The sequence below is a fragment of the Homo sapiens genome, chromosome 12 (genome assembly GCF_000001405.40).
Source record: "Homo sapiens chromosome 12, GRCh38.p14 Primary Assembly".
NCBI classification, from domain to species: domain Eukaryota; kingdom Metazoa; phylum Chordata; class Mammalia; order Primates; family Hominidae; genus Homo; species Homo sapiens.
Window position 1 is genome coordinate 10314040 of NC_000012.12, and position 25232 is coordinate 10339271.

A 25232-nucleotide genomic window follows, 5' to 3' on the forward strand; every position below is an offset into this window, starting at 1 on the left:
ATGCTCAAGTGACATGAAATTTAGTGTATTCGTGGCCATAAAAGAACTTTTAACATATGCTTTATTTTTGCCTTAGTACCAGCACTTGGAAGTATATGTGCATGTACAGATACTCATATACACAGAGGCAGTCCAAAAAAATAGTATATTTATTATTTTATTTATTCTGGTAGACCCCAATATTCTCAGCATGCTCTTATGTTTTATATACTATAGACTCATTGTCTGTATGTGTGTACTTTTTGAATCTCATTTTCATTTATAAACATGAGATTTGCAGCATCACACAGGGACAAAGTTTATGCTCTGGTTTGTTTTCCTAGACTAGATCAGATAATACATCTTAAATAAAATAGAAGAAAAGCATATCACATATTTAAACCATTAATGACAACAGAAAAACAGCAAGGAAAAAATCCCTGGCCTCAATGCTATTGATTAGTGAGAAAATAACTGGGTATTTTGTAGCATTACACTAGAAAATCATGAAAATTGTGGTTACTGAAAAAAAAAGGACTCAATATGTTAGTATCTCACTCAAATGCTTTTAAAATTTATATCATTTAATTGAAAAATGCCCTGAACATTCTTACTTCCTTTTTGTGTATGTGAACATTTTCTTCTTCATTACAGATTTCCATCATTTGAAACTTTTAATACAAAGAACTGCATAGCGTATAATCCAAATGGAAATGCTTTAGATGAATCCTGTGAAGATAAAAATCGTTATATCTGTAAGCAACAGCTCATTTAAATGTTTCTTGGGGCAGAGAAGGTGGAGAGTAAAGACCCAACATTACTAACAATGATACAGTTGCATGTTATATTATTACTAATTGTCTACTTCTGGAGTCTATAAAATGTTTTTAAACAGTGTCATATACAATTGTCATGTATGTGAAACAATGTGTTTTAAAATTGATGAAATTCGTTCACCTACATTTGAGAATTATAAAATTAACATAAAGAATTTTGTATTTTCATTTAATGTATATATTTAATGTTAAATTCAATGTAGTTTTATTACACATTTATGTAATTTTATTTACATTCTTGCTAATTCTCAGCAGAAATTTAAATAAGATTTAATTCACATCAAATAAAATTTAGAAAATAAAATTTAACTCACACTGCCCAGGCTGGAGCATAGTGGCAAGATCATAGCTCATTGCAAGCTCAAGTGATCCTCCTGACTCAGCCTCCCAAGTAGCTAGGACTGCAGGCACCATGTCACTATGCCCGACTAATTTTTAATTTTTAATTTTTTGTCAAGACAAGGTCTTGCTATGTTGCCCAGGCTGGTCTTGAACTCCTGGCCTCAAGGGATTCTCCCACCTTGGATTCCCAAAGTGCTGGGATTATAGGTGTGAACCACCATCCCTGGCCCTCTTCACATTCTTGTATGAAGATTGATTTGGGAAAAATGCATTTCAGGTAACTGACAAAAGATATAGGATGAAAAATAATATCTTTCAAATGTTTAATTTGAACTAAGAGAGCTTATGCATTGCACTTTCTGGAGATTTGTAATGTTTTGGTTTTGTTGTCCATGTGACTACAAAATAATATATTTTTTAATTAAAAAATTTAAAATAATACAGGCAAGCATGTAATGATTATCAATATTTTTTTCCACCAACTATCCTATACCCCTGACCTCCTTTCATTAGGCATTATCTTCTGTTTTGATTTTAACACTTAGAGTGGTTTTCTCTGTTATGAATCAAAGCTGATCTATTTTCATCATTTTTGTGATGAAAAAATTAATTTTGATTGACTTAGGATGGAAGGATTTGGACTGGGTGTGGTGGTTTATGCCTGTAATCGCAGCACTTTGGGAGGCCAAGGCGGGTGGATCACTTGAGGTCAGGAGTTTGAGACCAGCCTGGCCAACATGGTGAAACCCTGTCTCTACTAAAAATACAAAAATTGGCTGGGTGTGGTAGTGCACACCTGTAATCCCAGCTATTTGGGAGGCTGAGTCGAGAGGATCGCTTGAACCTAGGAGGTGGAGGTTGCAGTGAGTCGAGATTGCACCACTGCACTCCAGCCTGGGTGACAGAGCCAGACTCCTCTCCAAAAAAAAAAAAAAAAAAAAAAGATGAAAGGATTTGGAACCTTAATTGCATCTGAAAAACTGCCTCACCTTTGTTATTTAGTGTACTCCAACCACGGAGTAACATCCCATCATAATCCCAAATCCTACTCAAACAAAAGGGGAAGGGATTATGCAGGTGTACACTAGGCCACTGGTGTACCAATTAGAAACCACTTTAGAGTTATGCCTACTGTACCCACATAATCCTAAAAATATGTTACAACTGCTACTTCATAGTTTATGCCACTTATTTTATTTTTTACTTTTATTATTTTTTTTTCTGAGACACGGTTTCATTCCCATTGCCCAGGCTGTAGTGCAATGATGCAATCATGGTTCACTGCAGCTTCAACTTCCCAGGCTCAAGGGATCCTCCCACCTCAGCCTTCTGAGTACTTGGGACTCAGGTGCGAGCCATCATGCTCAGCTAATTTTTTGTATCATTTGTAGAAATGGGGTTTTGTATTGTTGCCCAGGCTGATCTTGAACTCCTGGGGTCAAGGATTCTGCCCGCCTTGGCCTCCTAAAGGGCTGGAATTACAGGCATAAGCCACTGTGCCCGGCCAGTTTATATAATTTAAACACTGCCTTTTGGTTCCTTGATTCCCATATGCTAGGACAAGTAATTATTATTTTATTTTATTTTACTTTAAGTTCTGGGTTACATGTGCAGAACCTGCAGGTTTGTTACATAGGTATACATGTTCCAAGGTGGTTTGCTGCACCTATTGACCCATCATCTAGGTTTTAAGTCCCACATGCATTAGGTATTTGTCCTAATGCTCTTCCTCCCCTTGCCCCCCACCCCCCGACAGGCCTTGGTCTGTGATGTTCACCTCCCTGTGTCCATGTGTTCTCATTGTTCAACTCCCACTTATTAGTAAGAACATGTGGTGTTTGGTTTTCTGTTCCTGTGTTAGTTTGCTGAGAATGATGGTTTCCAGCTTCATCCATGTCGCTGCAAAGGACATGAACTCATTCTTTTTATGGCTGCATAGTATTCCATGGTGTATATGTGCCATATTTTCTTTATCCAGTCTATCACTGATGGGCATTTGGGTTGGTTCCAAGTCTTTGCTATGGTAAATAGTGCTGCAATAAACATACGTGTGCATGTGAGGACAAGTAATTATTTTCTGTTTTTCTCAATACATTAATTATTAGTTCCTCCGTTAGTTGTGAAGTCCTAATTAGGGAAAAGGAGTTAGGCTGGCGGGAGCAGGGAAAAGCAGAAAGAGAAAGCAGATAAGCTATGAGTCTGCCTTTCTTCATGGTCCAGGATATGGGCCATGTGCTAAACTATTACCAGACACCTGCAAGTTACCTCACCGCAACCTTGGCATTATCAGTACTGGACAAAGCCCTCTGCAGCATACAGCATAAACACTATTCCATAAAATCCTAAGCAAGCCTTTGTTTCTTTGCAGTCAGCTTTTCTTCTGCTGATGCTGCCTGTTGCCTCCCTGGAAACATATTTTCCTACTTTTCTTTAATAAATCTGCCTTCCTTTACCTACAGCTGTCTTGGTAAATTCTTTTACCTCAATGCCACCGGCCCAGGTAGCCGTTGCTCACCCACAACATTAGTGTATTAGTCCGTTCTTATGCTGCTACTAAAGATATACCCAAGACTGGGAAATTTATAAAATAAAGACATTTAATTGACTCACAGTTCTGCAGGGTTGGAGAAGCCTCAGGAAACTTACAGTAATGACAGAAGGGAAAGCAAACACATCCCTCTACGCATGGCAGCAGAAAGGAGACGTGCTGAGCAAAAGGAAAAATACCCTCTTATTAAATCATCAGATCTAGTGAGAACTCACTCACTATCATGAGAACAGCAAAGAGGTAACTACCCCCATGATTAAATTACCTCCTACCAGTTCCCTCACATGATACGTGAGGATTAGGGGCACTACAATTCAAGATGAGATTTGGGTGGGGACACAGCCAAGCCATATCAGTTAGTGACATCTGTATTCTCATATTGCATGCATAAGAAAGTGAGTTATTTTACAGCTGAACTGGGACAGCTCTTTGCTTATTTCCAGAGATGCCTAGGTGTCTGTTTTTGACTCTTGGCCATGATATGGGTAGTAGGCTAACTAACTAGCTAACAAATGGTTTATGGTGAGTTCTTTAAAGTTCAAAATCCCTCAGTGGAATCCAGGGTCAATTTGTTTATTGATAGCTTCCATATGAGATAATTACAGATCTTGTCTCTGCTGTGTGACCAGACACAGATAAAAGACTGCAAGAAATTTCAGTTTCAGCTCTCATGAAACCAAGTTTCATCTCACAAATATCAGGTTTCATCCAGAGATGAATGGTGTCTTTGCGCAAATATCTCTTGGTCCCACACTGCTTGTTTGAATTCTCTTTCTCATACGGTATCATATTCCTTTCACTTATTAAAAAGTTTTTCATGGCTGGGCGCGGTGGCTCAAGCCTGTAATCCCAGCACTTTGGGAGGCTGAGGCGGGTGGATCACGAGGTCAGGAGATTGAGACCATCCTGGCTAACACGGTGAAACCCCGTGTGTACTACAAGTACAAAAAAATTAGCCAGGCGTGGTGACAGGCACCTGTAGTCCCAGCTACTCGGGAGGCTGAGGCAGGAGAATGGCGAGAACCCGGGAGACGGAGTTTACAGTGAGCTGAGATCGCGCCACTGCACTCCAGCCTGGGTGACAGAGGAGACTCCGTCTCCAAAAAAAAAAAAAAAAAAAAAGCTTTTCATAAGTATGCTCATTAGAACCTTATAATTCATTTCAGTTATCTACACCTGGAAATGTTAGTTCTATAATTTTGGACTTTCTGAAACTTTTCTCTTTATATCCTAACGCAGGGGTTGAAAAACTTTTCTCAAAAAGCTCTATAGCATATATTTTCAACTTTGTGGACCAGTCTCTGTTGAAACTTCTCAACCTTGCCATGGTGGTGCTAAAGAAGACATAAATAATACAAAAATGAATGGTTTGACTGTGTTACAAAAGAATTTTATTGACAAAACATATGGTGAGACAGATTTGGTCCACAGGCCATAGTTTGCCAACATGTGCCCAAGTATGTAAGATGAGAATATAAGGCCATAAATTCTACTCTCTGCTTTATTCTTTTCCAGGTCACTTCTTACCAGTTGTAAATGTACTTACAAATTTTGCTATATGAAAACAGTTATGTCTGTTACTATCAATCTGTGTTCATTTTAAAGGGTGACAATCTACAAATTATGTGTTATAGACAAGTTGCAAGATGTTCACCAATGATTCCCACCTTGTGCTATACATGCCTTGGTGGAATTTCTTTCCACATTGTATCAAGGTTGCTCTGTGTGACCAATGAAATAAAGTGGAAATGATGATATTTCATTTCTGAGAATAGGTCATCAAAGATAGTATGACTTCCTTTTTCCTCTCTCCCAGATTACTTGATCTGGGGAAAACCAGTTATAATGTCATGAGCAGCCCTGTTGAAAGGACCATGCGGCAAGGAACTGAAGACTCTTACACACAGCCAGCAAGGAACTGAAGTCTATTTCCAATAGCCATGCTATGAGCCTTCTTTGCTTGTATAGGCTCCAGTCTTAGTCAAGCCTTCAGATGATTACAGCCCCCAGCCAACACCTTGACGGCAACCTCATGAGAGACCCTGAGCTAGGTCCATCGTGCTATGCTGTTCGAGGATTCCTCACTCTCAGAAGCTGTGTGAAATAGTAAAGTGTTTATTCTTTTTTTTTTTTTTTTTTTTGACAGAGTCTCACTCTGTCACCTGGGCTGGAGTGCAGTGGGGCCATGTCGGCTCACTGCAACTTCTGCCTCCTGGATTCAAGCAATTCTCCTGCCTCAGCCTCCTGAGCAGCTGGGATTACAGGTGTGCACCACCACTCCTGGCTAATTTTTTTGTATTTTTAGTACAGACGGGGTTTCACCATGTTGGTCAGGCTGGTCTTGAACTCCTGACCTCAGGTGATCTGCCTACCTCACCCTCCCAAAGTGCTGGGATTACAGGCGTGAGCCACTGCGCCCAGACATAACTTTTATTCTTTTAAGTCACTAAATATTAACGTGTCACATAGCAATAATCAATACATATTTTGGTACCAAGAATGAAGTTACTATTATAAAGAAAAAAAAAAACCACTAAAATTTTGGAGTGCTTGAAAACAGGCAGTGGATGGAGGCCAAAAGGACAGGAAAGACTGAAACCTTCTAGTATGGGCTTATAGTAGGGAAGTGAAAACATATTAGAAACTGGAGAAAGTAAAAATCTTTCTATTTAGTACCAGAAAGTTTAGCAACACTTTTGTCTGTAGCATTGTGGAAAGTAGAAAATGTACTTAATGATTTAAGAGAATGCTCTAAACTTATTTCCAACTAGAGTGTTGAATATCTTGTCTGATTTCTTCCTACTACTTATATTACAATGCTATAGAACACACATAAGCTAATGGAAGGGCTGTTGAGCAAAAGAAGACAGAACTTGATAGTTTTGAGATTCCTGGACTCTCAAATGTTAGCATGTCAAAAATGCTAAAATTGAGAAATAGATTCTGAGCAAAGATCCAATCTAGAGTGCTCTCAGGAAAGCATGATTCTAAACAAGAAGGTGTGGGTGTGACTGAAATTTCCTGTAAATATCATAGAAAGAACACAAGTAGTGCCTCAATTCAGTCAGATGAAGATCTATAAAGGTCAAATAATAGGGCTTCTAGGAAGCCCCAGGGTATTGTCCCTCAGGTATCTCAGCAGAAGCTCCAGGTAGAGAGAAGATTGAAGAGATTTATGTGTGCGGTTTTTACAAATAGAGTTCATAGAAAACCTCAAAACACTTTTGAGATGACTATGTCAGTAGAAAATTGACAATGAATTGCTACCTTTTATTCAAAAGTAAGAATAATTCAAAGGACAGAACTAAGAGCCTGTAAGGTGGATCCAAGAGTTATGAAGAGTGATTTTATAAGCAGAAATAGGACTGAGTCCTAATCAAATGAGTCCCGACATTTGCTATGCTAGATTTTAAATTATTATGCATCAGTGACTCCTTTGTAATTCTCATGCCCCTCCCTCTTTTGAACAAGGATGTCTATAGTTTGTTCTTTCGAATGTTGAGTGTATAAGGGAAGGAAATCTCTAGTATTGTTAATTTCACAAGCCTTCACATGGAGAAAAATGATACTCAAGAAGCTAAACTTAAGGAACTTCACCTGATGAGTCTCACTCATACCTGGATGTGACAAATTTCGGACTTTGAACTGACATTGTAACGGAATGAGATTTGGCAGTTGGTGTGGATTTTGTATGTGGGAGGGACATAAATCATTTGGGGCCAAAGATTAGACTCTTGTAAACAGCTTCCTATATGCTCCCAATGATCCCTGTTTCTTGGAATTTAACCCTTTTGATATAATCAATTACATTGTATAAGGGTTGATCACTGTGACCAAGAGAATAAGGCAGAAGTTATCGCATATCACTTTTGAGGCTAGATTATAAAAGACAGTATGTCTTTGGCGTTGCCCTTTCTCATATCATCTGATTTGGTGGAAGCCAGCTACCTTGTCGTGAGCAACTCTTTTAAGCGTTCCATGTGGCAAAGAACTGAGGCCTCCTATAAACAGCTAGCAAGGAACTGCAGCCATCTTGTAGACAGCCTTGTGCACGAGCCTCCTTGGTTCAACTCTTCAGCCAGTGTCAAGCCTTAGAAAATACAACCCAACCTACATTTTTACTGCAACCTCATGAGGGATCCTGAGCTAGAACCACCTAGCACAGTTGCTCTTGATTTCTGACCTCAGAAACTGTGAAGTGAAATATTTTGTTGTTTTAAGCTTACGAGTTTGAGGATAATTTGTTCTTTATAGTAGTTAGCTGATACAATATGCTTCATCATCATGACCTCATGAATAGAGAACATTTATTTATTTATTGAGATGGAGTCTCACTCTGTCACCCAGGCTGGAGTGCAGTGGCACAGTCTTGGCTCACTGCAACCTCTGCCTCGCTGGTTCAAGCGATTCTCATGCCTCAGCCTCCCCAGTAGCTGGGATTACAGGCACCCACCACCATGCCTGGCTAATTTTTGTATTTTCAGTAGACATGAGGTTTTGCCATGTTGGCCAGGCTGGTCTCCAACTCCTGGCCTCAAGTGATCCACCTGCCTCGGCCTCCTGAAGTGCTGGGATTACAGGCATGAGCCATTGTGTCTGGCCAAATAGAGGACATTTTAGAGCCCAATAGTAAGCTAGGATTATATTTCCTTCTTTGAGGTTCTATTGTTATAACCCTTATACAATAAAAAACAACTCTTCTGCCAGATTAAAATTTTTTGTTTTTTGGTTTTTTTAGTTCTCAATTATGTTGTATAACCCATGAGTGTCACTTTATTCTCATTGGAAATATCCTCCCAAGAGCTCTTACCCACCTGCTGTTGTTTGGACTGGCACCTTACTAGACCTGCTCCACAAACTGCCGTCATGAAATTTTTCTTCACTAATTTTCTCATTTACACTAAATACTTCATTGATTACAGTTTACCTCTTCATATATTTTAATTGAGCAAAAACACAATAAAGAATACCTATCTTAAATTTACTCGTAAACATTTAAGCTATGTCTACACTTACACGATTACTACCAGATTGCAATAGAGACTACCTACCACCACCAAGACTCTCTTGCTGTTTGCTAATTGATACTGTCTCCCCTGTTCCAAGAAAACTGCTACTCTGATTTCTGAAAATATAGGTTTATTTAGCCTGTTCTTTAATTTCATATAAATGGAAGCTTAGCATGTATGATCTTTGTGGCTTCTGTTGCTAAGCATTACGTCTGTGAGATACATCCATATATTCGTGCAGCAGTAGCTCCTCACTTTTATTGTCATGTAGAATTCATAAGAATGTATCACAATTTGCTTATTTATTCTAATATTGTTCAACATTTGAGTCATTTCCACTTTTCACTATTATGAGTAAAATTGCTATAAACATTTTAATATAGCTCTTGTGGGACATGTGGCTTCATATCTTTTGAGTGTACGCCTAGGAGTTGAATTTCTAAGTCATAAGCTGTCATATATTTAGGCCCTTTAGTTCACGCTTTAAAAACTAGTGATAATTTATTCATAAAGCTTATTTATAATTTCACTGGCAGTTTATGTGAGTGTTACTCTGTATTCTTGACAATACATAGTATTATGAATTATTTTAGTCTAAGGACCTTCTGGATACTATGCATTTGCATACAATTGTACATTTAATTTCCATCTTCCAAATGAATAATGATGCTTATCCCTCATCTTTTTTTTTCATTTTTATATCCCCTTCTATGTAGTGCTTGTTTAAGCTTTTAGCCATTATTTATTTTTAACAGCGCTGTTGCAGTATAATTGAGATACTTTAAGCATACTTTATATGCTTAAAGTATGACATTTGATGTATTTCCATATCTATGCATCTGTGAAACCATCACCTCAGCAATATATAAAACACCTACTAACCTCAAAAGTATCCTTTCCCCTATGTATAAAATACTTCCTCTTGCTCCTCCCCTCACAGATGAATATTCTGTTACTATAGATTTGCCTTTCTATGTTTTATATAGATAGAATCATATAATATGTACATCTGTGTTCTAGATTTTTCATTCAGCATCATAATAGTTTTTATACTCATCTATGTTGATACATGTATCAATAGTTAATTCCCTTTTATTTCTTATTTCTTTCCTTTTTTTTTTTTTTTGAGACTGAGTATTGCTCTGTCACCCAGATTAGAGTGCAGTGGTGTGATCTCAGCTCACTGCAACCTTCACCACCTGGGTTCAAGTTATTCTCATGCCTCAGCCTCCCCAGTAGCCGAGATTACAGATGCCCACCACCACGCCCAGCTAATTTTTGTATTTTTAGTAGAGACGGGGTTTCACCATGTTGACCAGTCTTGTCTTGAACTCCTGACCTCAACTGCTCCACCTGCCTTGACCTCCCAAAGTGCTGGAATTACAGGCGTGAGCCACCACATCCAGCCGATTCCTTTTTACTTCTGAGAGTCTTCTGATCCTTGAGTAAAGTATGTTTCTTGTACCTCAATATGCTTAATTTTTTCCTTCTGGCTTTCGTTTTAGGTTCAGGGTATATATGTAGGCTTCTTATATGAGTACATTGCATGTTGCAGTGGTTTGGTGTACAGATAATTTTGTCATCCTGGTAATCAGCATAGTACCTGACAGGCAGTTTTTCTATCCTCATCCTTCTCCCTCTCCCCCCCAAGTAGGCCCCAGTGTCTATTGTTTCCTTTTTTTGTGTGCCTGTGTACTCCATGGTTAGCTCCCACTTATAAGGGAGAATATGTGGTTTTTGGTTTTCTGTTCTTCCATTGATTTGCTTAGGATAATGGCCTCTAGTTCTATCCATGTTCCTGCAAAGGACATGATTTTTTTCTTTTTTATGTCTGCATAGTATTCCATGGTGTATATGTACCACATTTTCTTTACCTAGTCCATTGTCTCAATATACTTAAGTTATACTCAGTAATGTTTTGTAGTTTTTAATATTCAGGCCTTTTATGTTTTTATGAGATTTCCCCAAAGTAGTCTATTGTTTTTAAAGCTATTATACATTTTATTTTCTAATTTCAAATGTTTTATTTTAAAATTGTAAGTATATATGTATATGTGTGTGTGTGTATATATATATATATATATATATATTCATTTACACAGTTGATTCTAAGTGTATCTTTTATTGTTTAACCTGCCTAAATTCACTTATCCTAGCAGCATTTCTGTAGATTTCATTGGGTTATCTGCATAGATGAATAAAGACAGTTTTTACCTCTTTCTTTTGAAAACTGTGTGCCTTTAATTCTTTTTATCACCTTGTCACAGTGGCCAGAATATTCAACACAAAGTTGAATACAAGTGGTGAGTAAACACCCTTGTTTTGCTATTGATCTTAGAGCATGAATATTCACTTTTTTTACCTTTATACTTAATTTTAGCTGTAGGATTTTCATAAATGACCTTTACTAGGTTGAGAAAGTTCCCTCCTATTCCTAGTCTGATGAGAATTTTTATAAGGAGTACATATGACATATGCTTTTATTAAATGTTTTATTCTGCCTCGATTGAAATCAGATAGTTTTTATTTCCCAGTTATAAACCTCAGTTGTTCATGTTATCTTTTTTACGTATCTTTGCAGATGCTTTGCTAATTTTTTAAAATTTTATTTTATTGAGGTAAATACAACATAAGATCTATCCTCTTAACAAATTTTCAAGTCTACAGTACAGTATTATTAACAATAGGTACAATGTTGTATAGTAGATCTCTATAATTTATTCATCTTGCATAATTGAGGCTTTATGCCCTTTGATTAACGACGTCCCATTTTTTCCTCTCTCCATTCCTGGCAACCACCATTCTATTCTCTGATTTTATAAGCTTGACCACTTTAGATATTTCACGTAAGTGGAATCATATAGTATTTATCCTGTGACTTGTTTATTTCATTTAGCATAATGTCCTCAAGTTTCATCCACATTGTTACATATTGCAGGATTTCATTTTTAAGGCTGGATAATATTCTATTGTATGTGTATGTACACATTGGCTACTGTGACTAGTATAGCAATGGACAGTAGTATACTAATATTTCTTTGAGATTCTTATTTCAATTCTTTTGCATAATTACCCAGAAAGGGGATTGGTGGATCATATGGTAGTTCTATTTTTAATTTTTTGAGAAATCACCATCCTGTTTTCCACAGAAGCAGCACAATTTTTCATTCCCACCAAAGTGTTCAAGGGGTCTAATTACCCCACGTACTTCTCAACACTTGTCTTTCATTTGTTTGATAATAGCCATCCTTATAAGTGAGAGATGATATTTGGTGGTTATAATTTGCATTTCCCTGATGATTAGTGATATTGAGCATCATTTCATATGCCCATTGACCCTTTGTATGTTTTTTATGAAGAAATGACCATTCAAGTCTTTGATACATTTTTTAATTGGGTTACTTGTGTTTTTTTTAATATTGAGTTGTAGGAGTTCTTTATATGTTTTGGATATTGACTCCTTTTCTGATATATGATTTGCAATTATTTTCTCCCATTCTGTAGATCATCCTTTCATTCCATTGGTTATTTCCTTTGTGAACCCTGAAAATTTGAGACAGGTCTCAGTTAATTTAGAAAGTTTATTTTGCAAAGGTTGAGAACATATGCCCATAACACAGCCTCACCTCAGGAGGTCCTGCTGACATGTGCCCAAGGTGGTCAGGGCACAGTTTGGTTTTATACATTTTAGGGAGACATGAGACATCAATCAACATATGTAAAATGAACAGTGGTTTGGTCTAGAAAGGTGGGACAATTCAAAGCAGAAGTGAAACAACTGGAAGCAAGGAGGGGGCTTCCAGGTCACAGGTAAGAGACAAATGGTTGCACCTTTTTGTTTCTGATTAGCCTTTCCAAAGGAGGCAATCAGATATGCATTTATCTCAGTGAGCAAAGAGATGACTTTGAATAGAATGGGGGGCTCCCAGGTCACAGGTAAGGGACAAATGGTTGCATCTTTTTGTTTCTGATTAGCCTTTCCAAAGGAGGCAATCAGATACGTATTTATCTCAGTGAGCAAAGAGATGACTTTGAATAGAATGGGAGGCAGTTTTGCCCTAAGCAGTTCCCAGCTTGAATTTTCCCTTTTGTTGAGTGATTTTGGGGGCCCAAGATATTTTCCTTTCACACCTTTGATGCGAACAAGCTGTTTGTTTGCTATAGTCCTACTTGTCTATTCTTGCTTTTGTTGCCTGTGCTTTTGGTGTCAGATTGATGATATCATTGCCAAAACCAATGTCAAAAGGTTTTCCTCTATGTTTTCTTTGAAGGGCTTTACATTTTCAGTACTTACATTTAGGCTTTTAATCCATTTGAAATTTATTTTTGCATATGGTGTAAGATAAGCAATTTCTTTGCAATATGGATGTTCATTTTTCCCGTCACTGTTTGTTGAAGAAACTGTCATTTCCCCTTAAATAGTCCTGCCACCCAAAGACCGTTTAACCATATTTGCAAAGTTTATTCCCAAGTTCTCCAATCTGTTTAATTGGTCTATATGTTCATCTTTATGCCAGTGCCATATTGTTTCAATTATTGTAGCTTTGTAATATATTTTGATATCAGGAAGTTTGAGGCCTCTGGCCTTCTGTTTCTTGCTCAAGATTTGTTTGGCTATTCAGGGCTTTTTGTGGTTCCATGTATATTTTAGTATCATTGTTTTCCTAATTCTAAAATGCCATTGAGGTCTTGATAGGTATTGCACTAAATCTGCAGATCACATTGTGAAATACAAATATTTTAACTATATGAAGTCTTTTAATAAATGAATATAGGAGGATTTTTGCATGTTGATTTTGTACCCTGCAACTTTACTTGGTTTTAGGAGGCTTTTTTGTGGATTCTTTAGAGCATGCCATAGGCAAACAGGGACCATTGTACTTCTTCTTTTACAATCTGTATGTTGTTAATTTCTTTTCCTTGCCTAAGAGCTTTAAGTAGGACAAGGGTTAAATAGAAATGGCAAGTGCAAACATCCTTGCCATGTTTCTGATGTCAGAGGAAAAGTTCAGCTTTTTCCATAGCATGATATTAGCTATGCACTTTACATATAGGGCCTTCAAAATGTTGAAATATTTTTCTCAAATTCTAGGTTGGCAGGAGTTATCATCATAAAATGGGTATTAAATTTTGTGAAAACTTTTTTTCTGAATCTATTGAGATGCACAGGTGACATTTATCCTTCATTCTATTAATGTGGTATATTACATTAATTGATTTTGTATGTTAGGCTATCCTTGCACCCCAGGGATAAATGCCACTTGCTTATGGCATATACTCCTTTTAGTGTACTGTTGAATTAATTTTGCTACTACTTTGTTGAGGATTTTTGCATCTACGTTTACTAGACATATTGGCTTATAGTTTTCTTGTGGTATCTTTGACAAGCTTTGGTGTAATGGTAATGCTGGCCACATAAAATTAGTTTGAAAGTATTTATTCTTTTTAAATTTTTATATAATAGCTTGGGAAAGATGGCCATTAATTTCTCCTTAAATATTTGGTGGCTTCACCAGAAGAGCCATCTTGTCCTGGGAATTTTTTTGTTGTAAGTTTCTTGATTACTGATTCAATCTTCATTCTAGTTATAGATACGCTCATATTTTCTATTTCTTCATAATTCAGTCTTGGTAGGTCCTTGTCTTTGTGAATTTTTTCATTTCTTCTAGGTTATCCAATTTGTTGGCCTATAATTGTTCTTAGTTGTCTCTTACCATCTTTTATATTTCTGTGGCATCAGTTGCAATGTCTTATTTCTGATTTCATTTATTTAAGGCCTCTCTTCTTTTTCTTAGTCTAGCTAAAGGTTTGTCAAGTTATTTATATTTTCCAAAAACTAACTCTTAGTTTTGTTTACTTTTTATATATCCTTTCCATTCACTATTTTATTTCTGAACTAATCTTTATTATTTTCTTTATTCTTCTAAATTTGAACTTTGTTTGTTCTTTTCTACATTTCTAGTTGCTTGGGATATGTATTAGTCCATTTTCACACTGTTGATAAAGACTTAACTGAGAGACTGGGTAATTTGTAAAGAAAAAGAGGTTTAATGGACTCACAGTTCCACGTGGCTGGGGAGGCCTCACTATCATGGCAGAAGGTAAAACACATGTCTCACATGGCGGCAGACAAGAGAGAATGAAAGCCAAGCCAAAGGGGGTTTCCCCTTATAAAACCATCTGATTTCATAAGACTGATTCACTACCATGAGAACAGTATGGGGGAAACCACCCCCATGATTCAATTATCTCCCACTGGGTCCCTCCACCAACATGGGGGAATTATGGGAGCTACAATTCAAGATGAGATTTGGGTGGGGACACAGCCAAACCATATCAAGGTATAAAGTGCATTGTTTGAGACCTTTCTTTTTTCTTAATGCAGATATTCATCACTATAAACTTTTCTTTTAGCCCTACTTTTACTACATCCCATAAGTTTTGTTAGACTTTATTTTTGTTTTCATTTATTCTAATGTGTTTTTAAATTTCCCTTTTGATTTATTCTTTGCAGATTGGTTGTTCAAAAATGTATTGTTAAATTATCACATATTTATTAGTTTTCCTTTTGCAACTGATTTCTAGTTTCATTCCCTTGATGCTGTAAAAGATACTTGATATGACTTCAATTTTCTTAATTTTCTTAAGACTTCTTTTATGACCTAACATATGATCTATCCTGCAGAATGATCCATGTGCACTTGAGAAGAATGTATACTCTGCTGCTGTTGGATGGAATGTTCTGCACATGTCTGTAGGTGACTTGACTTGCAGTGTTGATCAGGTCATCTGGGTCTTTGTTGCCTTTATGTTTGGTTGTTCTATCCATTATTAAAAGTGAGCACTGAAATCTCCTACTGTTATTGTATTGCTATCTATTTCTCCCTTAAGTTCAGTCAATGTTTGCTTTATACCTTTAGATACTCTGATGTTGGGTGCATATATATTTAAAATTATTGTATCCTCCAATGTGAATTGACGCCTTTATCATTATGTAATATCCTTCTTTTTTTCTTGTGACAATTTTTGACTTAAAGTCTATTTTTTATAATATCAGTAAAGGCATTTTTTGTTGTCTTTTAGTTATTATTTGGCGAAGGATTTTTGCAGTCTTCTTCAACCTTCATGCTAGTCCAACTGGCTTTCTTTTTTTCTTGGTAGATTCCAGGCATCTAGAATATCCCAGGTCCTGTCAGTGCTCTGAGATAAACAGGAATAAAGCTAGCTCCTCAGGCAATCTCCAGAAAATATGGATTATCAGTTGTTTAGTTCAACTTTTTCCCCCAAGGAGAAGCTGAGAGTTAAAGGTTTTGGTCCACTCACTCCATCTTGATCCAAGGAGTGGTTGAAACTGCCAGCTCACCCCACCATCTATGTTCTTGCTGGTCCCACGCAGCCAGGCTATGCTTGGTTCTATCAGTACACTGAGACAGGCTAGAGAGAAGCCAGTCTTAGGAGTAGCCCCTGGAAAAATTGGGGAATTGGACATGCCATCCATCATTTATTAACCAAGAGCAAAGCTGGGAGCAGGGGAGTTTCTCCCTGGTTTTTTGGCACTGTGCTGGGGGCAGGAATTAGGGAAGGAGTGTACCTTAGATTTCCCTAAGGCTTCAACATGAGTAGTTTCACCAACAGCATTGGAGCATCTCAACTAGTTTCTTAATTTCCCACAAAGAAAATTTGTCTATGAATTTTTAGTTGAATTGGTGCATTTGTAGAGAGAAAAGAGACCAGGGCTTCCCACTCTGTCATCTTGCTAATTTTACTCCACCATTTATTTTATAATTTAAATATATAAAAATAAGATACATATTTATAATTTATGTGTATGTATATGTATATATTTTAAATTTAATGTATATATAAAAACATTTGCTGTATTTCTAAACTGGAATACAATACAATGAAATTTAATTGCATCTTAAATGGACAAAACATTACCATGCGTAAATGGAAAAAATTGTGGCTGGAGTTACCTCATGATGGAGAGAACAAATACCACTGTACACAACGCCACCAAACATCCTGTATGAGCTATGATAACACAATCCCATATAGTACTAAGTAGGCTTTCTGATATTTTCTACTCGCCAACTGAGGTTTTCTTAAATATATTCTTAGAAGTGTTTCTAGCTATGATGCACATATGTTGTAAAATCCAATGTAATATTTTTTTCATACATGGTTTTAATTGCTCCAACATTAAAATGGTTAGACTTGCATTTTTTCAGCCAACATAGGTGACAGCTGTTTGTTAAAATACTAAATAAATTACACAGACAGGCTACAAGAAAGTAAGCCTGTACATTAAGAACACAGTCACCTGAGGTTAACATTTTAGAATTTTTATTTATTGAGAGCTTATAATAAGTCTTCCATACAACCTTTGACAGGTTTGAAGTATGAAATAGATTTCAGAGTAAGGATTTAAGAGAAAGGGCACTTTAACAAATAACAGTAGCTAAATCCTCAGTTTCTCACGTTGCAGAGATGGTTGTCTAATCCCAGATATCTCCTATCTCTCCCCCAAACTCATAAAATTAATAAGAAAAGCAAATAAAACCACATAATACCTTATCCTTTCAACATCTCTAGGACACATAGAGTACCACAACCTTCAAATTACCTATAAATAGAGAAAAAATATTGCAAAAGAACACTCGCTCCTGCCTACCACTGAATACCTGCGGTGCAGGATAGGGAGATTAGTCTTTAACATACTCAGAAGAGAAGACTAGAGGACATAAATGAATCACAGATACAATAAACCCTGAAAGATAAAACTTCAACAATCAATGCCAGAATACTTAACACAATTTTGGACTTGGTAGTTCATAGTACTGGGAAAAGGCTTGAAACTGAAGACCAGAAGTGGAAAACTTGGAAAGGAAAACAATGGTTTCTTGGAGAGAAGCAGAAAATAAAGGAGTGACACTCCTTAGAAATGTGACTATCAAAGCAAATAAGTAATGTGAGGGACTTAAGAATCCTGCAGAAAGGAAAGAGAAAAAAGACATGACTATCATTTGCCCTTCCCAATCCCATCATCACCACCACCCATAGAGGACACTATGCTGAATAGGACAGAACTGACAGAAGAGGGAGCTCTCTAACTAGGTTCCTTGTCCACGAAACAGGAATAGGAAAAAACAGACCATATTTATGTGAAACCTCTTTAAAACTTCAGATAATGTAAATAAAAATATTTTTCTTTTGAAAAATCACTCACTCAAAAAAGGAAACAACCACTAAGCAGATGAAAAGTGTAATAAACACTGCAAATTGAATTAGACATTCTAACGCAATCATAAAAACAAGACCACAAATGCCAAAAAAATAATAAGGTTGGTATGAAACAGGAGTTGAACTGTGAGAGGTAATAGTATACCACAGTAAAATAATGAACAAAGATTTACAAGATGAATGTTAGCAATAAGAAAGGGGTTGCAATTCTGATGCCAAAGAAGTAGACATAAAAACAGAACTAAATGAGGCAAAGAAAGATGTTGTATAATATTAAAATCTACATACTGCAATGAAGAGTACATAGTTAAGAATTTATGTAGTAATTAATACACTGATTATTTATATAAAATACAAATTACAAGAGATGCAAGAAAAAAAAAGACCATAACATATTAATACAGGGTGATTTTAATATACCACTCTCAATATAAGGCAGAAAGTGTGGGCAAAAATAAGTTATTTTCCGGAAGATCTAAATAAGATAGTATAGCAGATATTTTGAATACATATTGATCACTATGCACTGATAATATAAAATATATTTTTTTCCAAATGCACCTGAAACATTCACAAAAATTGAACAAATAAAGCTCATGAGAAAAGTAAAACTGTATGGCTATCTCCTTAACTAGAAAAAAATATACGTCTACACACATACAGTCAACCTTGAACAATGTGGGCATTAGGACCACTGACCTCCTCTGCAGTTGACAATCCATATATAACTTTTGACTCCCTAAAAACTTAACAACTAATAAACTATTTTTGACACCATCATTTTGTTTCTAGTTCTACATTTCAATCAAAATGATTAAAACAAATAAAACCAAACTTGTTTACAAATATACGAAGAGTCACTGTGGAGGGAAAAGCTCTTTAATTTATTTCTCAAGATATAGATCCAACAGGACTGCAAAGTGGAACAGTTCTCAGAAGCCTGATTCAGGAAGATGTACCCGGGTTTTGGCACCAAATTTCACACGCGTCCGTGTGAAGAGACCACCAAACAGGCTTTGTGTGAGCAACATGGCCGTTTATTTCACCTGGGTGCAGGCGGGCTGAGTCTGAAAAGAGAGTCAGCAAAGGGAGATAAGGGTGGGGCCGTTTTATAGGATTTGGGTAGGTAAAGGAAAATTACAGTCAAAGGGGGTTTGTTCTCTGGCGGGCAGGAGTGGGGGGGTTGCAAGGTGTTCAGTGGGGGTGCTTTTTGAGCCAGGATGAGCCAGGAAAAGGACTTTCACAAGGTAATGTCATCAGTTAAGGCAAGGACCAGCCATTTACACTTCTTTTGTGGTGGAATGTCATCAGTTAAGGTGGGGCAGGGCATATTCACTTCTTTTGTGATTCTTCAGTTACTTCAGGCCATCTAGGCGTACATGTGCAAGTCACAGGGGATGCGATGGCTTGGCTTGGGCTCAGAGGCCTGACATTCCTGCCTTCTTATATTAATAGAAAAATAAAACAAAATAGTGTTGAAGTGTTGGGGCAGTGAAAATTTTTGGGGGTTGGTATGGAGAGAGAATGGGCGATGTTTCTCAGGGCTGCTTCAAGTGGGATTAGGGGTGGCGTGGGAACCTAGAGTGGGAGAGATTAAGCTGAAGGGAGGTCTTGTGGTAAGGGGTGATATTGTGGGGATGTTAGAAGAAACATTTGTCGTATAGAATGATTGGTGATGGCCTAAATACGGTTTTGGATGAATTGAGAAACTAAATGGAATAACAGAAGGAGAAAAACAGGTATAAAAGATCTAAGAATTGGGACGACTCAGGATATCCGATTAGAGAGTGCCTAAGGAGATTCAGAATAGTCCTGCCAGCAAAGATTATTTATTTACTTCAAGAGTTAAGAGTGGCAGTTTGGGGATAGCACCAGGAGATATCAGCTGTGATGGCTTGGAGAAACAGTGCAAACCAGCAGTGTAAACAAGAGCAGGGCATGTATGAGTAGTTGAGAACGGTGAATAGGAGTATGACTAGACAGAAGATAGTAGGGATGACAAGTTTTTTGGGGCACAGTCTAAGTTGGTCTAGTGTCTGGAATGAGACTGGGGCCTAATAAAAAGGAGCGTCTATACAGGAGCTTAAATGGGTTGTACCTTGTAGCATTCTGAGGACAGGCCTGAATTCTGAGAAGGGAAAGTGGTTAAAGTATTGTCCAGTCCTTTTTAAGTTGGTAATATAAGTGATATAAAGGTTTCACTGAATACTAACAGCCTGAAAAACTGCTTGGCTGATTTGACTAATAAAGGCTCGTCTGTTATCAGACTGTATTGAGGTGGGAAGGCTAAACTGAGGAATTATGTCTGACAGAAGGGAAGAAATGACTGCGGTGGCCTTCTCAGACCCTGTAGGAAAGGCCTCTACCTATCCAGTGAAAGTATCTACCTAGACTAAGAGGCATTTTAGTTATCTTACTCAGGGCATGTTGAGTAAAGTTAATTTGCGAGTCCTGGGTGGGGGTAAATCCTCAAGCTTGATGTATAGGGAAGGGGGGGGGGGCCTGAATAATCCCTGAGGAGTAGTAGAATAGCAGATGGAACACTGAGAAGTTATTTCCTTGAGGATAGATTTCCACGATGGAAAGGAAATGAGAGGTTCTAAGAGGCGGGCTAGTGGCTTGTACTATAGTATAACCTGCCTTCGCTGGTGTGTGGCGATTAGGCCTGGTGGAACTGCCATCAATAAATCAAGCGTGATCAGGGTGAGGAACGGGAAAGAAGGAAATTTGGGGAAATGGGGTGAATGTCAGGTGGATCAGAGAGATACAGTCATGGGGGTCAGGTGTGGTCTCAGGAATAATGTGGGAGGCTGGATTGAAGTCTGGGCCAGGAACAACGGTAATTGTGGGAGACTCAACAAAGAGTGAGTACAGCTGAAGGAGCCGGGGAGCAGAAAGTATATGCGTCAGGTATGAGGAAGAAAATAGATTTTGGAAGTTATGAGAACTGTAGAGAGTGAGTTGAGCATAGTTTGTGATTTTGAGGGCCTCTAAAAGTATTAAAGCAGCGGCAGCCGCTGCATGCAGACATGAGGGCTAGGCTAAAACAGTAAGGTCAAGTTGTTTGCACAGAAAGGCTACAGGGTGTGGTCCTGGCTCTTGTGTAAGAATTCTGACCTCACTAACTATGCCTAGGAAGGAAAGGAGTTGTTTTGTAAGGGATTGAAGTTTGGGAGATTAATGGGACACAATCAGCTGGGAGAGCACGTGTGTTTTTATGAGAATTATGCCGAGATAGGTAACAGATGAGGATGAAATTTGGGCTTGACTGAAGTAATGGGGGCTGTCTACTAAGCCTTGCAGCAGTACAGCCTAGGTAATTTGCTGAGCCTAATGGGTGTCAGGGTCAGTCTAAGTGAAAGCGAAGAGAGGCTGGGACGAGAGGTGCAGGGGAATAGTGAAAAAAGCATCTTTAAGATCAAGCACGGAACAGTGAGTTGTGGAGGAAGGTATTGAGGACAAAAGAGTGTACGGGTTGGGCACTGCAGGGTGGATAGGCAAAACAATTTGGTTGCTAAGGCGCAGATCCTGAACTAACTTGTAAGGCTTGTCTGGTTTTAGGACAGGTAAAATGGGGGAATTGTAAGGAGAGTTTATAGGCTTTAAAAGGCTATGCTGTAGCAGGCGAGTGATAACAGGCTTTAATCTTTTTAAAGCGTGCTGCGGGATGGGATATTGGCGTTGAGTGGGGTAAGGGTGATTAGGTTTTAATGAGATGGTAAGGGGTGCATGATCGGTCACCAAGGAGGGAGTAGAGGTATCTTATACTTGTGGGTTAAGGTGGGGGGATACAAGAGGAGGACGCAAAGGAGGCTTTGGATTGGGAAGAAGGGCGGCAATGAGATATAGCTGTAATCCAGGAGTAGTCAGGGAAGCAGATAATTTAGTTAAAGTGTCTCAGCCTAATAAGGGAACTGGGCAGGTGGGGATAACTAAAAAGGAGTGCTTGAAAGAGTATTGTCTAAGTTGGCACCAGAGTTGGGGAGTTTTAAGAGGTTTAGAAGCCTGGCCATCAGTACTTACAACAGTTATGGAGGCAAGGGAAACAGGCCCTTGAAAAGAAGGTAATGTGGAGTGGGTAACCTCTGTATTGATTAAGAAGGGGACGGGCTTACCTTCCACTGTGAGAGTTACCGGAAGCTCGGCGTCCGTGATGGTCTAGGGGGCTTCCGAGGCGATCCGGCAGCGTCAGTCTTCAGCTGCTAAGCTGAGAAAATCTGGGAAGGAGTCAGTCAGAGAGCCTTGGGCCAGAGTTCCAGGGGCTCTGGGAGTGGCTGCCAGGTGAGTTGAACAGTCCGATTTTCAGTGGTGTCCTACACAGATGGGACGTGGCTTAGGAGGAATCCCAGGCTGCAGGCATTCCTTGGCCCAGTGGCCAGATTTCCAGCATGTGTAGCAAGCTCCTGGGGGAGGAGGTTCTGGAGGAATGCCTGGCTGCTGCGTTTCAGACGTTTGGAAGTTCTTGTGTGCTGGAGATGTGGCTGGGGTTTGTCTCACAGTGGAGGCAAAGAATTGCAACTTTTTTCTGTTATTGTACACCTTGAAGGTGAGGTTAATGAAGTCCTGTTGTGGGGTTTGAGGGCCAGATTCCAATTTTTGGAGTTTTATTTAATGTCAGGAGCAGATTGGGTAATAAAATGTATATTGAGAATAAGACGGCCTTTTGACCTTTTAGGGTCTAGGGCTGTAAAGTGTCCCAGGGTTGCTGCCGAACGAGCCATGAACTGGGCTGGATTTTTATATTTGATGAAAAAGAGCCTAAACACTTCTGATTTGGGAGAAAGAAAAAGGAGCGTTAACCTTGATTATGTCTTTAGCTCCAGGAACCTTTTTAAGAGTAAATTGCTGGGCAGGTGGGGGAGGGCTAGTCAAGGAAAGAAACTGTAAGCCGGACCAGGTGTGAGGAGGGGAGGTGATAAAAGGATTATAGGGTGGAGGAGCAGAGGCTGAGGAAGAATTGGGACCTAGCTCAGCCTGGCGAGGAGCAGCCTGGGGAGGAGGGGAGAGGTCAGATGGGTCTGTAGAAAAGGAAGATTAGAAAGACTCAGCGACGCTTGGGGTTGGTACTGACGGGACAGGCGGGAGGGAAAGAAGGAAGATTTGGGACGAGTTGCACTGGGCACAGAGACTAGGGAGGGACTGATGTGTAAAAGAATGCCTGGATGTCAGGCATCTCAGACCGTTTGCCTATTTTACGACAAGAATTATTTAGATTTTGCAGGATGGAAAAATTCAAAGTGCCATTTTCTGGCTATTTGGAACTACTGTCGAGTTTGTATTGGGGTCAAGCGGCATTGCAGAAGAAAATAAGGCATTTAGGTTTTAGGTCAGGTGTGAGTTGAAGAGGTTTTAAGTTTTTGAGAACACAGGCCAAGGGAGTAGAAGGAGGAATGGAGGGTGGAAGGTTGCCCATAGTGAAGGAAGCAAGCCTAGAGAAAAGAGAGAGTAGAGAAATGGAGGGAAGGGGTTCGGGGGTTCTTACCTTCCAGAAAAGTGGGAAAAGGGGTTGGGGCACAGAGATAAGAGGTTGGGGTGCGGAAATAAGGGATTGGGGTGCAGAGATATAAGAGGTTGGGGCACGGAAATAAGGGATTGGGGGTTCTTACCCCATAGAAAAGCGGGACTTGCCGCTAAGGGTGAAGGAGAAGGGGTTGAGGGGTACTTGCCCCTGTCCCAGAAAAGCAGAGAAGGGGTAGAGACAAGGAGAGAAGGGGTTGGGGTACTTGCCCCTTCCCCAGAAAAGCGGGACTTGCTGCTAAGGGTGAAGGACCAAGGCAGGTGTCCCTGTGTGGTCTGACACCCTTGAAACGTGAGTGTATAATCAGAGAGGTGTCCCTGCAATGATTAAACACCAAGGGAAGGCTGCCTTCCCAGTCCGTGACCGGCGCAGGAGTTTTGGGTCCATGGATAAAATGTGTCTCCTTTGTCTTTCCCAGAAAATGAAAGGAATAGAAATTAAGAAAAGGGAGAGATTGAAGAGTGGAAAGGAGAAAGTGGTTGAGGGACAGTGAGAGAGGTTGGAGAAGAGAGTAAGAAGAGGACACTTACCTGATTTAAAATTGGTGAGATGTTCCTTGGGCTGGTCGGTCTGAGGACCTGAGGTCATAGGTGGATCTTTCTCACGGAGCAAAGAACAGGAGTACAGGGGATTGATCTCCCAAGGGAGGTCCCCCGATCCGAGTCACGGCACCAAATTTCATGCGCGTCTGTATGAAGAGACCACCAAACAGGCTTTGTGTGAGCAACATGGCTGTTTATTTCACCTGGGTGCAGGCGGGCTGAGTCCGAAAAGAGTCAGGAAAGGGAGATAAGGGTGGGGCCGTTTTATAGGATTTGGGTAGGTAAAGGAAAATTGCAGTCAAAGGGGGTTTGTTCTCTGGCGGGCAGGAGTGGGGGGGTCGCAAGGTGCTCAGTGGGGGTGATTTTTGAGCCAAGATGAGCCAGGAAAAGGACTTTCACAAGGTAATGTCATCAGTTAAGGCAAGGACCGGCCATTTACACTTCTTTTGTGGTGGAATGTCATCAGTTAAGGTGGGGCAGGGCATATTCACTTCTTTTGTGATTCTTCAGTTGCTTCAGGCCATCTGGGCGTATATGTGCAAGTCACAGGGGATGCGATGGCTTGGCTTAGGCTCAGAGGCCTGACACAAGTTATATGATGAAAGATGCAAATTAGAAAATATCAGCCAAAATGTTTGAACACTGACTTAGCATGTTTATGCACTATATTTCTCGCATATATGCAAAGTTTTGGCTTAACTGTTTCCAGAGCAATATACTTTAAATTTTAAAATACACTCCTTATAAAAATGAGGTACTTATAATGCTTAACATTAAAATATATCCCTAAATACTAAAGAACTTATCATCAAAATCTGTCCCACCTGTCCCATCTCCCCATCCTTCTCTCTTGAGATTTCATTTGCTCCAGAGGTTTTCTGTGATAGAACCAGAGTTCTCATTCTATATTTGACCACACCAAAGTATAGGTAAAGGTGAGGGTGATCCATTTCACATCACCACCCTATCAGATGTCCAGAGATCCATTTGCCTTTTTGCGGTCTTATGAACAGTTGTATGGGGAGTGGTGATCCAGATGGTCTCAAATAGGATGGTGGTGTCTGCTGTCAAAAGGAAGTCCACATCAGAAGCTGCCTTCCCCTAAGAAGGAGCACGTTTTTCTCACTCAACTAGAGCCTGAGCTGTGCTTCTTTGGAGGTTCCTGTTGCCCCTTCAGCTCTCACATCACTTCAGGGCACTGATAGCAGAAGATGC

The 25232-nt window shown here is 39.1% G+C and overlaps 1 protein-coding gene and 1 long non-coding RNA gene across 19 annotated transcripts in view, besides 2 other annotated features; one reads left to right on the forward strand and one right to left on the reverse strand.

Annotated features, from left to right (window-relative positions):
* KLRD1 (killer cell lectin like receptor D1) overlaps positions 1-15569 on the forward strand; it is a 90648-nt gene extending 75079 nt beyond the window's left edge. For 10 of the 18 annotated variants that reach the window (NR_147038.2, NR_147039.2, NR_147040.2 and 7 more), the window contains one exon: positions 634-15569. Coding sequence is in view for 14 of the 18 variants with exons in the window: in NM_001114396.3 (NP_001107868.2) it covers positions 634-754 (121 nt within the window). In the remaining 4 variants the exon portion in view is untranslated. The remainder of the gene's footprint in view (positions 1-633) is intronic. The other 8 variants (XM_047428821.1, XM_047428822.1, XM_047428823.1 and 5 more) reach the window with 5 other exon arrangements.
* Positions 15570-18820: 3251 nt separating this feature from the next.
* On the reverse strand, positions 18821-24253 carry LINC02617 (long intergenic non-protein coding RNA 2617). The gene is made up of 3 exons (NR_159946.1): positions 24006-24253; positions 22073-22270; positions 18821-19024 (listed from the first exon to the last, which is right to left on the reverse strand). It is a non-coding gene; the product is annotated as a long intergenic non-protein coding RNA 2617 (long non-coding RNA).
* Positions 23989-24567: an enhancer, noted in NCBI's record as "NANOG-H3K27ac hESC enhancer chr12:10490627-10491205 (GRCh37/hg19 assembly coordinates)". NCBI's record gives its function as "activates a minimal SCP1, AML or CMV promoter by ChIP-STARR-seq in naive and primed H9 embryonic stem cells {active_cell/tissue: H9 hESC(naive and primed)}" and the evidence as "EXISTENCE:reporter gene assay evidence [ECO:0000049][PMID:30033119]".
* Positions 24568-25147: an enhancer, noted in NCBI's record as "NANOG-H3K27ac hESC enhancer chr12:10491206-10491785 (GRCh37/hg19 assembly coordinates)". NCBI's record gives its function as "activates a minimal SCP1, AML or CMV promoter by ChIP-STARR-seq in naive and primed H9 embryonic stem cells {active_cell/tissue: H9 hESC(naive and primed)}" and the evidence as "EXISTENCE:reporter gene assay evidence [ECO:0000049][PMID:30033119]".